The sequence below is a fragment of the Homo sapiens genome, chromosome 11 (genome assembly GCF_000001405.40).
Source record: "Homo sapiens chromosome 11, GRCh38.p14 Primary Assembly".
Taxonomy (NCBI): Eukaryota; Metazoa; Chordata; class Mammalia; order Primates; family Hominidae; genus Homo; species Homo sapiens.
The window spans coordinates 118301583-118317318 of record NC_000011.10 but is presented as its reverse complement, the minus strand read 5'-3'; the positions used below and the strand labels follow the sequence as shown (position 1 = coordinate 118317318).

Genomic DNA, 15736 nt, shown 5'->3' with positions numbered 1-15736 from the left:
AGTAAATGCTCAACACATGTCAGCTGTTATTGCCTGTATTACGCTGAGCCATGCCTCCCCTTGACAGGGCACAATCAAGTATACTTGGGACAAAACTGCCATCCAGCAGCTAGTGATGGACAACATCATGGAGGCATCTTCTGAACCTAAGTGTTGATGCTTAGAGTGAAGGAAGTGACTCTTCAACAGCGACCAAAAACAAATAGAAGCTGTAGCTACAGCCCAAGGCTGAGGGGGAGCAGTATGTGGAGGCTGCTGGTCACGAATGGCCTTTTTAGTGGTGGTCGCACTCATAAATCAGCAGGGTGAATTATTAGTGCAGGGAGGGAGAGAAGAGAGCCCACTGGTTTGAGCTGGATTAGGACAGTTCCTGGATGCTCCAGCCTCCTCTCTCTGCAAGCAGAGTGTGCTGTGGGAGACTGAGAACAAAGCGCTCTCACACGGGCCTCCGCCCAGCTGCCGCTGTACCTCTCCCACCCTCACTCCCAGAAGCCACGCTTAGCAGTGCAGCCCACATCCTGCACTGCTTAACCACAGCCCGCCTCTGGCTGCAGGCGGCTGCCTCAGGGTGGGGGTGTGCCTGCTTGAGACACCTCCCTCCTTCACTTCCCCAGCCCTGGCTCGCAGCTTTTCCTGGCAGCTTGTGGAAATCTGTGTCCCATCTCCAAGCCCGGCTTCCACCGCCACCGTCCTCTTCCGTACCTTCATCTGTCTTTCAAGGCCTATTTCTGTCTTGTCCATTTTCTACCAACCACTCCATCAGGGACCCATCAGTCTTTCTCTGCCACGTTTGATGTTTTCCTCCAAGAGAAGTTGGTGAAACTTTCTTTCTTTCTCTCCCTCCCATCCTCTTTCTTTCTTCCCTTCCTCAATCCCTCCCTTCTTTCCCTTTCCTTTTATTTTTCTTTCTCTCTCTCTTTTTCTTTTCTTTCCCCTCCCTTCACTCTCTCTCTCTCTTTTTTTTCTTATTCCCTTATGCCCTCTCTAAAGAGAGCTTCAGGTAACGGCCCTACCAGCTGTGGAAACAGAGAGTGCTCGCATCTGGGGTCATAGCTGAGAATTTAGTCAAAGATAGTGAGAACCTGAATGGTCTTGGGAGTTAAGGCAGCCTCTGAGGGTCTCTCAGAAAACAGGGACAGCAACTCTTGCAGCCAAATACAGTTTATTTTTTTCTCTCTCAGCTGAGGAGCAGAGCACATTTACGGAGATGCAAATGACCATCCAGTGGCCTACAGTGGAGGGGGGGTGGAGGGAGTAGGGGATTAGGGGGTTGGTAGGGAGTGTTGGGGGAGGGAGGAGCACAGGGCTGGCTCAGGGCCAGGATCTGTGAACGGGGCAGGGCCTCTGTCAACATTTACCCAGTCCATCCCCAGAGAGGGCTGCAAAAGGGGACGGCGATAGAAAAGTAGATGGAATACTTTGGGATGGGGGACAACTTACATGCAAGAAAAGGAGGGAACTGAACGGAGAAGTTACATCCAAAGGGAAGGGAGTGAATAGCACAAATAAATATCCTGGCAAGAGGGCAGGCCAGCTGTGAGGGTGTGACTACTGATGATGCTTCAAAGGAAGAGGAAGCAGCAATATTTTAGGACTGGGTACCAGCAGAGAAGGCAGGGAGGAGGGAGCGGGGGATCAGGCTGGAGGGCGCGAGTTCACCATGAGGCTGAGGAACGATTCTCTCTCGTGGGGTCCAAGACTAGCCCAGGAAACAGGGAGTCGCAGGGGGACTGGAGAGGAGACCTGGGCCAGCGGGAGGCAGTGTTCTCCAGAGGGTCAGATGCGTCTCTGATTCAGGCCAGAATACAGGTCCCGCTGGCCTTTCCGGATGGGCTGGGGGTGAAATAGAGAGGGGGCGGTCAGTGGTGCGGGAGGAAGTACCTCCTAAGAAAGGACACTGAAGAGCTAGCTTTAGTGCGTGGGAAGAACTTTGGACTTGAAGTCAGGAGGCAGGCTGGAATTCTAATTTGGCATGGACGGTAGGAGACTTGAGCTGGTCACCTCCTTCCGTGAGCCTCAGCTTTCCCATCTCAAAAATAGGAACTTAAAGACCCACATTCCAGGGCTTCTGTCAGGGCTAAATAATTCGCTTAAGCTAAAGTAAATACTACGTGTTTGGCTGGTGTTGAGTATTTGGCTCAACAAATATTTGTTGAGTATATCCAGGTGTGATAGTGAAAATATTTAACAACTAGGAGTGCACACATACCAATCAACTAGAACAATCCTGGTGATCCTCTGCCATGCCAGGCATTAACTCTTTGTTACCCCAACTCAAGAGGCAGCCCGGTAGGGGAGGGACTGGGATGTCTGGTCACGTGTGTGTGTGTGTGTGTGTGTGTGTGTGTGTGTGTGTGTATGTGTGTGTGTAAGGGTGGGTTGGGGTGAGCAAAGTTTGGGGCTATTTCCCAATGAGTATTTTAATATTTCAATAACTTTTATATAATATTTATATAATTTTAATATTTCAATAACTCGCTATACTGGTGCATGCTGGTGGAATATCAGCCCAGAATTTATTGTGTTAGAATTTGCATATATAATATTCTCCATGGCTGTATCCCAGTCAATGAATAAGCCAGAGAAAGAGGAGTATGTCTCCTGCAAGCTTCCACCTCTCCATGGTTGTGGAAGCCATGCAGCCTTTGAGACAGTCCTGTTTTACCATGAAGGACGCAGAGGTGGCACATAGAGGGTTGTAATGGAAGCCCTGAGTGAGGGGCTTTGAGGCATCTGGCAGACAAGATGGGCCATCCCATCTGTTTCCTTCCCCCCTGGAGGGACATCCCCTCCAGCGTCCTGGCCCATTTCTATCCCACGTTACCTCATAGTCTGGGTTGGGAACAGGTGGTGGCCTCTCCTTGTTTTGTCCTGCGGAGGAAGGAGGGGAAACATTTCATTCCCATGAGGGAACCAATCTTGCAGCACTGTCTGTGCCAGTGAGACCCAGATAGAGAATGGCAAACCCCATTGTTCTCTCCTCTACCGCTCCCTTTTCTGTTCAGACGTCCTTTCTCTTTTTTTTTCTTTCATTCATCTCTAAGGACCCTACACTCTTCTCATCATTTTGTGACTTTCCTCAGCTCAAGATCCTCCCATTGTTTCTCTCCATAGGGGAAGGGAAAGGAAAAGGCAGGAGCTAATATATCAAAGTCTCTCTTCCCACAGCTTAGGGGCGGAATCGGATGACTGCAGGCATTGACAGGTATGTGAGGAAGCCCATCACTTTCATAAACTTTTTTGCACTTTTCTAGGATGGGAAGGAGGGGAGTGATGTGAGATTTGAAACCGTCTGTTGAGATCTTGTCATCACAGTAATAGAAGCTGTGCATAGAAGCTCTAGAGAAGCTGTTCTGACCTAGCTGTGGACTTGCCACCCACCCTGGCCCAGGCTGGTCGTCCCCCTTGGCAGGAATCTCCTCTGACTGGACTCCACAGCCTTACCCCTTTGCCTGCCGCCAGCACCCGCTCCTCGTGTCACAGGCTTGGCCTTGGCCTTTCTATTCTTGCTCCAGTAGTAAACCAGCAGCAGCAAGCCCCCAGTGATGCAGATGTCCACTATGACAATTGTGGCCACCGACATCACATCCATCTCCATGCAGTTCTCACACACTGTGGGGGGTGGGGTGGGGAGAGGGGAAATCACTAAGCAAGGAAAACACAAGGCGCTGGAGGTGAGGAGGGAGTGCATGAAGGCCATTCTCCCCTTACTACTCACACGCTTGCCACGGTCAGAGCCCCCCCTTCAATATGTTTAGAACAACATTGACAAGCAAAGAGTGGTGGCCGTGGGTAGAGGCACTGGAGTCAAACAGCCCTGGGTTTGAGTCCCAGCTTTATTACTCACTAGCTGTGAGAAGCGTGAAATGTGTTTTCAACTCACAAACCCTCTGTTTCCTCATCCCTTTACTCATGGGAATAAAATGATACTTAACCCATATAGTTGTTGAGAGGATTACATGAAAAAGAATCCTTGATAAGTGTTGGGTACAGACAGTGCTTGAGACTTAATAAGCACTCAATAAATGTTAAGTATTGTTATTATTTTATTATTATACCTTAGCTTATGCCATTTTACTATAGTGGCCTTGAGTGTTTTTTGCAAACCTTTCTGAAAAATTTATCTCTGGAGGAAGCATTAGATAAACTCATGTTGGTGTGCTATGAACCTGGGTGTGATGCGGTGCAAATGACCCAGTCCTGTCTCTTAGGGAGTTGCTATTTTAGATCTCGCACAGACTGGGGTTACCCAGAAGCCTCATATTGGTGTTTAATCTATATTCCAGAAAACACTGATGCCGTGTGGTACCAGAGAGTCCCAGGATTGAGTGTGGGAGGAAGCGCAAAGACGCCTGGGCACTGTGAGCTGGGTTAGGGAAAATCACTGAGAATGCCCTTTTGAATGGTCCTCCCTAAAGAGCCGGTGGTACCTGTTCTGGAGACCTGGATTACCTCTTGCCCTCAGGTAGAGATAAAAGTTCGCATCTTCTGGTTTGCTTCCTCTGGGGTAGCAGACATAATAACCACTTTGCTCCAATTCTGAAAATTCCTTCAGTGACAGGTGATCCTCATCACTGCCTATGTTTTTATCATCCTCATCACCGCCTATGTTTTTATCATTGTGTTGCCATAGTATTTCAGATCCAGGATACTGAGGGCATGTCAATATTACTGTGGTTCCAGAGATGGAGACTTTATATGCTGGGGAGAAAGAAGGGAAATTGGCAGAAGAAACCAGGACAATTTTAGAAAAGGCAAATTAGTGACAAAAGAACCACCCAAATGCAGGAAGTCATCTGTCATCTAGATCTTAGACTTGCTTGTCAGAAGGGAGCTCTACTGGCTAGAGGGTGTGGAAGAGGAGATATGTGGAATGAAGGGAACTAGAGAACCTTGAAGGGAACTAGAGAACCTTTTGAGAGGTGGCTTTAGGGTTTACGCAGGGACATGGGGACTTGGGAAGGGTAAGATGGATGTAAAGAAAAACCCACAGAAGTCCCTATTTGGAACCTTTCTAAAATGGAGTTGAGAATGCAATGCTGGGAAGATATCAGTTCTTGGGGTTAATCTCTCTCAATCAGTTCCTTCTCATCTACCCACCAATCTGCATCCTCAGACAGGGCATAAATAAAAGACCAATAAACTCACGTGTCTGTGTAATACCACCTGAAAATGAAAAAAGGAAACAGCAGTAAGAAAATATCATGGTTTAAGTTTAAATTGTAGGTAAAACTTTTCTAGTGGAATTAGACACTGCCCACAAGACTTCCCAAAGAGGGTCTCATCCATTTAGGAACCCCGAGTCTTGGAGGTGAGGTTCATGCTTAGCCTATGAGATTTAGCTCATAGATATATTTATTAAGTAGCTCATAGATGTAACTCAGATACATCGGATTCAGAATATACCAGCATGAGCTCCTAGATCTAGATCTACTGAAGCTCAGAAAGCCTTAAAGTCCTAAAGCCGAAAAATTCCAGAGGTCTTCAAGCTTATCCTCTTAAATTAGCCAGAACTGTATTACAGATAGATATGAATGACAAAAGAACCAACCAAATGCAGGAAGTCATCTGTCATCCAGGTCTTAGATTTGCTTGTCAGAAGGGAGCGCTACTGGCCTTCTCAGAAATAAAGCTCTCCACACCACTGAATCACTGATTCGTGGACTTACCTATTTCTTACAATTTAAAATCCTTTCTCAGAACTGAGTCCCTCATAATAGAGAAGAAACATCTTTGTTCTTATTCCATATAATTTTCTCTCTATTTGCCTTTAAATAATGTGAAATACTCTACACGTTTTGAGGGAATGCTTCTTCCAATAAAAAGTGGCTTCACTTTACATTATATCTGAGCATAATCAGCTCTCAATTATTTTTGTTAGAGGGAGGCCTATTAGTGTGGACAACTGAAATCAACTAATAAACCACTAATGCCATTCGTAGGTCCAGCCTGTGTTTCCCACAGCAGCCATTTTTGCCCTGGGAGGTGGAGCTAGGAGTCCTTTATTATTTCCTGGAAAACTTGTGGCTGGAACACTGGGTTCTGCTACAGTCTGGACATAACAGCTGGAAGAGAGGAGAGGCAGTGCTGCTGCTGTCAGGGACAGAGCTCTGGACTCAAGAGTCAGAAGCCCTGAGTTTGAATCCTGGATCTGCCCTAGTCTGTGTGACTGAGGGCAAGTCATTTAACTTTGCTGAACCTCAACTTCTTTATCAGGGAAATGGAGATAAAACACCAACCTCACAAAGTTTTTGCGAAAATTAAATGGATTATGAAGGTGAAAGTGAATGACACATAGCAGGTGCTCAAGAAAAAGTTACTTCCTTTCCTCCTTTCCTTCTTGAGGTCCTGCTACTCCCAGAGCAGAACTAAACTCTGACCCAGTTGCTCAGGCAGCCCTCTGACAAAGACTGCACAGAATGTAAACAAAACATTCTCCAGGTTTTTCCACCTGCTTATAATTGGGAGTTGAGTATAAGGACAGTAGATAGTTTATATTATTTTAATTTATAAATAATTTTTCAACACGGATGTTTCTTAGACATGTTAAATGAACTAGAAATCATAAATAAAGTACATAGACATTATACTCTGCTGGGTGTGTTTGTTTGAAAAAAATGTAAAGAAAATTGCTCACAACTTTTATTGGCACAAATTCAGTAGCAGAGCTTAGACTTAACTCATGCTCACACAAGGGTCTAGATGTCTGTGCTTAGACAGAAATGTGCTCCACGTATGTTCATTGTGCACTATTCACAATAGCAAAGACATGGAATCAACCTAAATGCCTGTCAGTGGTAGACTGGATAAAAAAATGTGCTGCATATACACCATGGAATACTACGCAGCCATAAAAAAGAATGAGATCACGTCCTTTGCAGGAACATGGATGGGACTGGAGGCCATTATCTTTAGCAAACTAACACAGTGACAGAAAACCAAATACCACATGTTCTCATTTAGAAGTGGGAGCTAAATGATGAGAACACATGAACACAGAGGGAAATGACACACACTGGGACCTCTCAGAAGGTGGAGGGTGGGAGGAGGGAGAGGATCAGGAAAAATAACTAACAGGTACCAGGCTTAATGCCTGGGTGATGAAATAATCTATACAACAAACCCCCATGGCACAAGTTTACCTATATAACAAACCTGCACATGTACCCCTGAATTTAAAATGAAAGTTAAGTTAAAAAAAGATATGTGTGCTCACAAAGATTTTATACATATCCAGAAACAGTATTTCATAATGGTTGAGAAAATGAACTTCGGTATCATATAAATCTGCATTAAAATTTTTTTATTTTTAAATTTCTATTTATTAATTTTTTCAGAGACAGGGTCTTTCTCTGCCACAGAGGCTCGAGTACAGTGGCACAATCTTTGCTCAATGCAGCCTCAACCTTCTGAGCTCAAGCGAGCCTCCTGCCTTGGCCTCCCAAAGTGTTGGGATTATAGGCATGAACCATGGCACTTGGCCTAAATCTGCATTTATATCCCCAGGACTGGATTGTTTACTTATTTTTGTTTATTTCTGTATTTATTTGAGGCTTTGTTTCCTTAACTGTACAGTAGGGGTGTTGGAAGAATTAAATGAGGAAATTCAAGTAAAATATTTAGAGCAATGCCTAAAACATACATGCTCAGTAAACTTTAATGCTTATCATCTATAGTCAGCATGCTTTCCATGTATTAATAGCTAAAATTCACCTACTGTCTGTTTGTTTGTTTGTTTGTTTTGAGACAGAGTCTTGCTCTGTCGCCCAGGCTGGAGTGCAATGGCACAATCTCAGCTCACTCCAACCTCCGCCTCCCAGGTTCAAGCAATTCTCCTACCTCAGCCTCCTGAGTAGCTGAGATTACAGGCACCTGCCACCATGCCTGGCTAATTTTTGTATTTTTAGCAGAGATGGAGTTTCACCATGTTGGCCAGGCCGGTCTCGAACTCCTGACCTCAGGTGATCCTCCCACCTCGGCTTCTCAAAGTGCTGGGATTACAGGTGTGAGCCACCATGCCCGGCCCTCCTACTGCCTTTTATGTCAGATAATGTTCTAAGTGCCTTAAATGAATTACTCATTTGGTCCTCATAATAACCCTACAAGTTAGGTAGCACTATTATTTCCATTGTACCATGATGATGCTGTGGCACAGAAAAGTTAGGTAAATTACTCAAACACACCCAGCAAGTAGAGAGTTGAGCCAAGATTCAAACATTCTGATCTAGCTCAGTTAGACTCTTATCCTCATACTATACAGCTTTATCTCTTCTGCATAAAATATTTTTCTTCCCTAAAACATAAGCTTATCCTTTAAAATTCAGCTCAAGGACCACCTCCCCCAGGGAACCTTTCCCAACGACACTCAGTAGAGTTGACCACTCCCCTCTTTATACTTCATTTTACTCTGTATCTACCCATATTATAACATGCAACTCACTATATTTTCAATTATTTGTCTCTCACACAAGACCATCAGCTTCTTGAGGGGAGGTAATTAGCAATGTGTTCATATGTTTGTTCATTTATTCATTCAAAAAATATTCATTGAGCACCTACTATGTGCCAGACACTGGGCTAGGTAAATGAGACACTGTCTCTGTCTGCCTTCAAAGATTTCATGGCTTATACAAAAACACATGGTAGCTCCAACCCACATCCATATGTGTATGATCAGAGATACATATATGCACAGCTATAATCTGACATGACAGCTAGCAACAAATACAGGCAAGTTTCATACGGATCCCATTGAAAGATACTTGTATTTTCCCTTTAATAGTTTTAGTTCTCAGGGTTTGTTACTGTGATTGTACTCTATGAGCATTTCATTCCATATTTGAAAACTTTTGCTAGATAGAGTGGAAATCTTCTTACCCATTTCTTCATTACCTGAAAAGGAAACAGTAAGAAGCCATTAGTAATGTTTCTATCGGCAATGAAGATCAGACCCTGCTCCCGTGGGTTGGGACTCTTCCCTCAACTCTTAGGAAACAATGGATCTTCCAATTCCCTCAGCTGCATAGAAAAAGCTGTTATGGGCCTTACATCTTATCTGATGACTATTTACAAAAATGGCTCCTAAGGACACTACAAATTAGGCAGCATGGCGGAATCTAGGCTGGCATAATGGTTGTCTTTATTTTATTTTTGAGACAGTCTCGATGTGTCACCCAGGCTAGAGTGCAGTGGTGTGATCTCGGCTCACTACAACCTCTGCCTCCCAGGTTCAAGCGATTCTCCTGCCTCAGCTTCTCGAGTAGCTAGGACTACAGGCGTACACCACCATGTCTGGCTGATTTTGGTATTTTTAGTAGAGACGGGGTTTCGCCATGTTGGCCAGGCTGGTCTCGAACTCCTGGCCTCAAGTGATCTGCCCACCTCGGCCTCCCAAAGTGCTGGGATTACAGGTGTGAGCCATGGTGTCCAGCCATGGTTGCCATTAAATACAACATTGGTTCACTCAGTTTGGAAGAGCTGATTGAATAGAGGGGCTTCCAATGTTGGAACACTCCTGACTCTACCGCTGTGGTTGAGAGAGTAAGTTCAGGCCGGGCACACTCATATGCATGTGCACTTGCATAAATACACATGTACACACATATATTCAGAGTATTCAGACATGTGATTCTGAACACACATCCAAATGTTGCCCCAGCAGCTTATCCAGAGTAACCCTGTGCATGCATTCTGGCTACGTCTCCTCTGCAGAATCTCACATCAAATATGAAATGCAAACAAATGAAAACTGTTAGTGCTTTCAACTTCATTTAAGTCTCAATTTTTCTTTTGTATGGTTAAGACTCATTATTTCCTGCCTCTGTTGCTTCCCTCTTCTGGGCTAGAAATATCTCCAGACTTGTGAGGAAAGTCAAAGGGGTAGATGGCAGAAACTCCTTTTCCTGACCTCTGTGGAAGTTCTGTGGGAGGCCTAAGAGAAAGCTCCATTCATAACTACAAAGAATGATGGGGTGATTTCATAAAAAAGAAAGAAAGAAAGCATATCTCACCATCTTGCCCCCAAACGCCAACTAGAAAATAAATAAGAAAAAAAAAGTGTTAGTAAATGTTGTGGGTACCTGCATTCCTAAACAGAAAAAGGGCTGTGTTGCAGTATGACCACTGATGACATCTGATGTCCTTCCCTCTTGCTGCTGGGTCACAGCCATTTCTACACCCTAGAACAGTGGAACTTACTGCTGGTATTGACCAGGGGTTCCCAGGAAATTTGGGGGGAAATAGAGGAAGGAAGCATCTAGCATTAACTATGAGCCCACAATTTTTGACAAGCAGGAGTCAGAAAAAGTTAGGACCATTTTTTGGACGACTAGAGACATAGCAAAAGAATTTTGCCCCCAAGCCTCCATTTTGAACATTGGTGTCTGTGGAAGAAAAACACGCTCTTGGTTGGGTACAAACACTGGGATTCTTGTTCCATCTCTGGCTCTGCTTTTCTGGTGGTTCAGTTTTTCCATTTGTTTTCTGCTTGAGACAGAGATGGAAATATTTGAAACCCTGATTACTCATCAACTAGGGCCTGTGCATTGAAGAGCCTGACCACATTTCCACCGGGCCCTCCAGGATGCCCTCACTCAGCAATACCCTGGATTCATTACAATGATCAGTTTCCCTGGCATTGCCTGAAAGCTTTCTGCACACCTAGGCCTTTCTTTTACTGAAACCTCTACACAGGGGGAGACAGGATCCCCACTTTCCTATCCCCAGAGCAGACTGGGCACATTCCTATGATGCCAGATGTCTAGAGGTGATTGGGTCTTTGATACTGTCTCTTTTATTTATTTATTTATTTATTTATTTATTTATTTATTTATCTATTTTGAGACACTCCAGGCTGGAGTGCAGTGGCTTGATCATGGCTTACTGCAGCCTCGACCTCCTGGGCTCAAGTGATCCTTCCACCTCAGCCTCCCAAGTAGCTGGAACTATAGGTGTGTGCCACCTTGCCTGGCTAATTTTTAATTTTTTGTAGAAATGGGGTTTCACTACTTTGCCCAGGCTGGTCTTGAACTCCTGAGCTCAAGTGATCTTCCCACTTTGGTCCCCCAAAATGCTGGGCTTACAGGCGTAAGCCACTGCACCTGGCCCTTCTCCTCCTCCTCCTTCTTCTTTTTTTTAAGGAAAAGCATACTTTATAACACAGGTCTCTAAGAAAATGCCTGGCCACTCCTTACAGGAGTCACATCCTGCCCCTCGCTACTCAATATGTTCCTAGGACCAGCAGCAGATTAATAAACTTGAGAGCGTACTAGACATGCGGAATCTCCATTTCCAGTCTGGGTCTTTTGAAACAGAAGCTGCATTTTTAACAAGATCCCCAGGTGATTTGTGTGCACATTCAAGACGTGAGAAACCCAAGATGAAGCAGGAAGTGGAGACATCGTTGCTGTGGGTCTGAGACGGGAGCACCAGCTGTGATAGTGTTTTCTAGGTCTTTGAAATAAAACCATCACGAGCCATTTTGCCTCATGTGGTGCAGCCATTTAGAGTACAAACAGTCCTGGTCTCACAGATTGGCTTCGGCACTTACTATGTGGTTTAAAACAAGTTATTTAACTTTTTTGAGTATCAATTTCTTAATCTGTGAAGTAGAGAGGACTTATCAGTTTATATAGTCAAAATTAAAAAGAATTTTAAAAAGAGGATATAACACCTTCCTTCCTAGGCAGAAGTAGGATTAAACCAGTTAACACGTCTAAATAATTTTTTCTTTACACAGTATCTGACAATAAATGGCAACTTTTTTTGGTATTATTTATCTCATATGAGATACAGAAATGCTCTTGGTTATTTATCAATTCATAATCCATCTTGCTTCAAAAAAATGAAATAAACTGAAAGTTGTTGGTCACTTGAAAAGGACTAAAAATTACGAGGCGTTTTATGGTCTCAAAGATAGTGAATTGCTATATATGCCCTGTGCAGAGTTTGGACGCAAGTATCTGGTCTCTTCAAAACAAGGAGTGGAGCTTCGCTCTTCCAGTCTCTTTTGGGTTAGTTCTGGAGGGCTGGGTAAGTTGGAATGAGCTCGTACTTAGAGGTAGCGAGACCTCTCTGCTCACAATAGCTATGATCACCCCAACTGCTCTTCTTTGCCTGCTCCCCGAACGCTCTCCCAGGCACCCGTGGCCTATCTTTTTCTTTAGTCCCCAGCTCTAATCCCTCACCCTAACATAGCACAAACAGTTCCTTACATCTGGTAAATGAGGCTCCTTGGTGCCACTAGGCAGTGCCAGGTAAGGCTGTAAGCCTTCCAGCGGTCTGGAGACACACCACCCTTTCCACTCCATCCTACTCACCTGATAAGAGGCAGAGGCCCAGAACTCTCCAGTGAGTGCCCGACTGCATCTTTGTTTCATGGGACTGTTACTTTACTAAGATGGCGGAGGCCAGCAGACTTACTACTTCTGGAAAAAAAGCAAAACAGATGACTTTTTCAAAACATCTGCTAGAGATAAGGACCCTGGGGCCATTGTTCCCAATGCTAGGATGAAAAAGGAGGGCTTTATAAGAGAGAGACTCACCATTTTCTGAAGCAGGCACCTGAGGCTGGGAGGGGAGGAGGGTTTCTGAACCCCACACAGGAAGTAGAGAGGCCTCTGGGCCTGCGGGTTTTACCTCACTTGGAAACGTTCAAGGCAGAGGCCTCCACCTGGACTGGTTGAAGAAAGCTGGGTCCCACAGCCTTCCTAGAAGGCCAAACAAGAGGACTCTGACAATACCTGGAGGGGCCATGAAAAATACATGACATTTAGCTGTCCAGACCATGTAGTAGGTTGGCACAAAAGTAACTGCAGTTTTTGCCATTAAAAGTAATTGTAATACAATATGCCTCCACATTGCGGGGTCTTCCTTCCTCTATAAGCTCTGACAGGAAGAGGGAGATGCACTGAACATTTGCTTTCTGTGTGGTGGATCTGGCATGGAGCAGCAGGGTGCAGCCATCTTATTAACAAAACTTGTTGGCTTGAAAATACATGTTGACTTAAATCCATAAGAATTAAATCCAAAGAAAAAATGCCACTTTTTACCTATATTCTTTACAAAAATATTTAAAAACACAAGACTCAATGTTGAACAGGGTAAAGAGTGATAGTGTCAAAGTCTGCTGGTATGAGTGTGAATTGATGTAACCTTTCTTTATGTTTAAGCATGCATTAATCAAATGCTTACTATATCCAAGCACCGTTCTAAGAGCTTTTCTGATATATCTTATTTAATCCTCAAAACGACCCTCTAAGGTAAGTATTATTTTTATTTTTATTTCCATTTTATACTTGAGCAAACTAAGGCTCAGGCAGGTTATCTAAGTTGCAGATTACAGAGCTGGGACTCTAGAAAACATTTTGATGAAATTCACTTATTTAATACATATTTTCTGTCTACTGTACTGTAGTTATATGCTGGGTGCTAGTAATACAGGAGAAACAAGATAAATAGTCCTCTTGGATAAAAAAGGAAATGTGGAGATTAAACAGATAACCTCATAACCAATAACCATGCCCCGCATGATGGTGTACACCTGTATTCCCAGCTACTCAGGAGGCTGAGGCAGGAGGACTGACTGAGCCCAGGGGTTCGAGACTGCAGTGAGTGTGATTGTGCCTGTGAATAGCCACTGCGCTCCAGCCTAGGCAACATAGTGAGATCCCATCTCTAAAAAACCCCCCAGATAACTTCAGGAGATTGATGCTAAGAAAAAAGACGTTCAGGTGCTGTGGGAGTGATAGAAGGGATCTAAGATAGTCTGGGGTGGGATGGGGAAGAGAAGGTCCCCCTGAGCAGGTGACATCTAAGCTGAAATTTGATGGAGGAACAGCAATGAACCAGGTGGAGTGGAAAGCATTCCAGATAGAGGCAGCAGCATGTTTGAAGTCCAGAGATGAGGAAGAGAAATGGAAAATCCAGCACGGCAGGTAACAGGGAGAACGAGGAGTGTAAGAAATAATATAAGAAATTCGCCAGATATGGTACTTTGGGAGGCCAAAGCAGGCAGATTGCTTGAGGCCAGGAGCTCAAGACCAGCCTGAGCAACATGGTGAAACCCTATCTCTACAAAAAAATACAAAAAATTAGCCGGATGTGATGGTGCTCACCTGTAGTCCCAGCTACTCGGGAGGCTGAGGTGGGAGGATCACTTGAGCTCAGGAGGTTGAGGCTGCAGTCAGCTATGATTGTGCTACTATGCTCCAGCCTGGGCAATAGAGCAAGACCCTGTCAAAAAATAAAAATGAAAAAAATAAAAGAGATAGGAAACTCAGCAGGGGCCAGATGGGAAGGGATTTGCAAGCTATGTTAGGGATTCTTAAGGATTTTCTTAGGGCTGTAGGAAGTATTCAAATAGTTTTAAAAAGGTGAGTGACAGTATCAAATTCTTATAATATTCAAATGGAAAAAGTTGGGGTTTTTTTTAGATGAAGTCTCACTTTGTTGCTCAGGCTGGAATGCAATCGTGCGATCTTGGCTCACTGCAACCTCCCCCTCCTGGGCTCAAGGGATCCTCCTGTCTCATCCTCCCAGGTAGCTGGAATTGCATGTGCCTGCCACCACGCCCAACTAATTTTTGTATTTTTGGTAGAGATAGAGTTTCACCATGTTGCCCAGGCTGGTCTCGAACTCCTGAGCTCAAGCGATCTGCCCACCTTGGCCTCCTGAAGTGCTGGGATTACAGACATGAGCCACCATGCCTGGCCAAAATGAAAAAAGTTTTAATGATGGAAGTAATACGTGCATGTTAAAAACAATGCATATAGAAGGGCTGTATAACAATAGCCCCTGTTCTACCTTGCTTCACCCCTACACTTCTCCCTAGAGAAAACAACTTTTAAGTTTTTCAACTTTTTTTTTTTTTTCCTGGTGGTTACCTTCGTGTCTGTAAATGTGCATTGCTATCCATCGGGTTTTCTGGGAAAAAAAGATGGAGATTTGGGCAGGTGGCTCTCTGAGGAAGCACAGGAGCATCATCTGTAAGGGAGAGAGGGGCAGCATCTGGCAGAGAGAGGTGAACTGCGATGAGACATATCAGGAGCCTCAGCCAGAGCCATGGGGAGTTCTTAGCCTGGGATCACCTTCCCAAGTTATCCTGAGTTATCCTGAATTGAGCAAAGGGGCCATGAAAAATACAGGTATTATGAATTGAGGGGCTGCGAAGTTGGGTGAGGGGGCTGCGAAGTTGGGTGAGGCAGCTGCTTCTGCTGAAGGCAATGTCTTTGAAAGAGCTCAACTGTGAGTCCTCTGAGTACAAGAATCCCAGCAGTTGGGGGAGGGAGCAGCCCTGGAGTGATGACCTGGGTGCAGCCACAGCATCCATGCAGTTTAACACTTGCACTGCTTGGAGCCATTCGCTTCATGTGATAATTTCATCCTGTCCTTAAACAGCCTTTTCGGGATTCTGGTTATCTCTTTTTTTGGAGAAGCTTATAAAAGGAAAGTTTCCTAATGGGACAAATTACAGCCCCATTAGCACAGTTGCCCCAGGGCGCATCTGATAGGCAATGCTTGTTCCCTTTTCTGGATTGCTCCTAGCCTCAGTTAGCACCTCTGCTGACCTCAGGGAAGACATAGCTTGAGGAGTCTGAGCCCCTGGCCGTCGTGGTCTTTTCGGGTTGTGGCTGCTGCACTTGCCCATTTACCATCAAAATTGCACTAAAAAATGCCCCAGGGGAGCCCTTGGATTCTATCTGAGTTGTCCCTGCAGCCCTGCCTCCTCCTTATCATC

At 44.7% G+C, this 15736-nt stretch overlaps 1 protein-coding gene across 1 annotated transcript, besides 1 other annotated feature; it reads right to left on the bottom strand.

Moving 5' to 3' along the window:
• Positions 543-782: an enhancer, noted in NCBI's record as "active region_5588". NCBI's record gives its function as "activates an Ori minimal core promoter by ATAC-STARR-seq in GM12878 lymphoblastoid cells {active_cell/tissue: GM12878}" and the evidence as "EXISTENCE:reporter gene assay evidence [ECO:0000049][PMID:35858748]".
• Positions 1146-12589, bottom strand: CD3E (CD3 epsilon subunit of T-cell receptor complex). The gene is made up of 9 exons (NM_000733.4): positions 12543-12589; positions 12318-12425; positions 10011-10031; positions 8878-8892; positions 5149-5166; positions 4453-4701; positions 3445-3612; positions 2825-2871; positions 1146-1833 (listed from the first exon to the last, which is right to left on the bottom strand). Exons 2-9 carry the CDS (start codon positions 12364-12366, stop codon positions 1777-1779), a joined length of 624 nt encoding a protein of 207 aa, NP_000724.1. The 5' UTR covers positions 12367-12425; positions 12543-12589; the 3' UTR covers positions 1146-1776.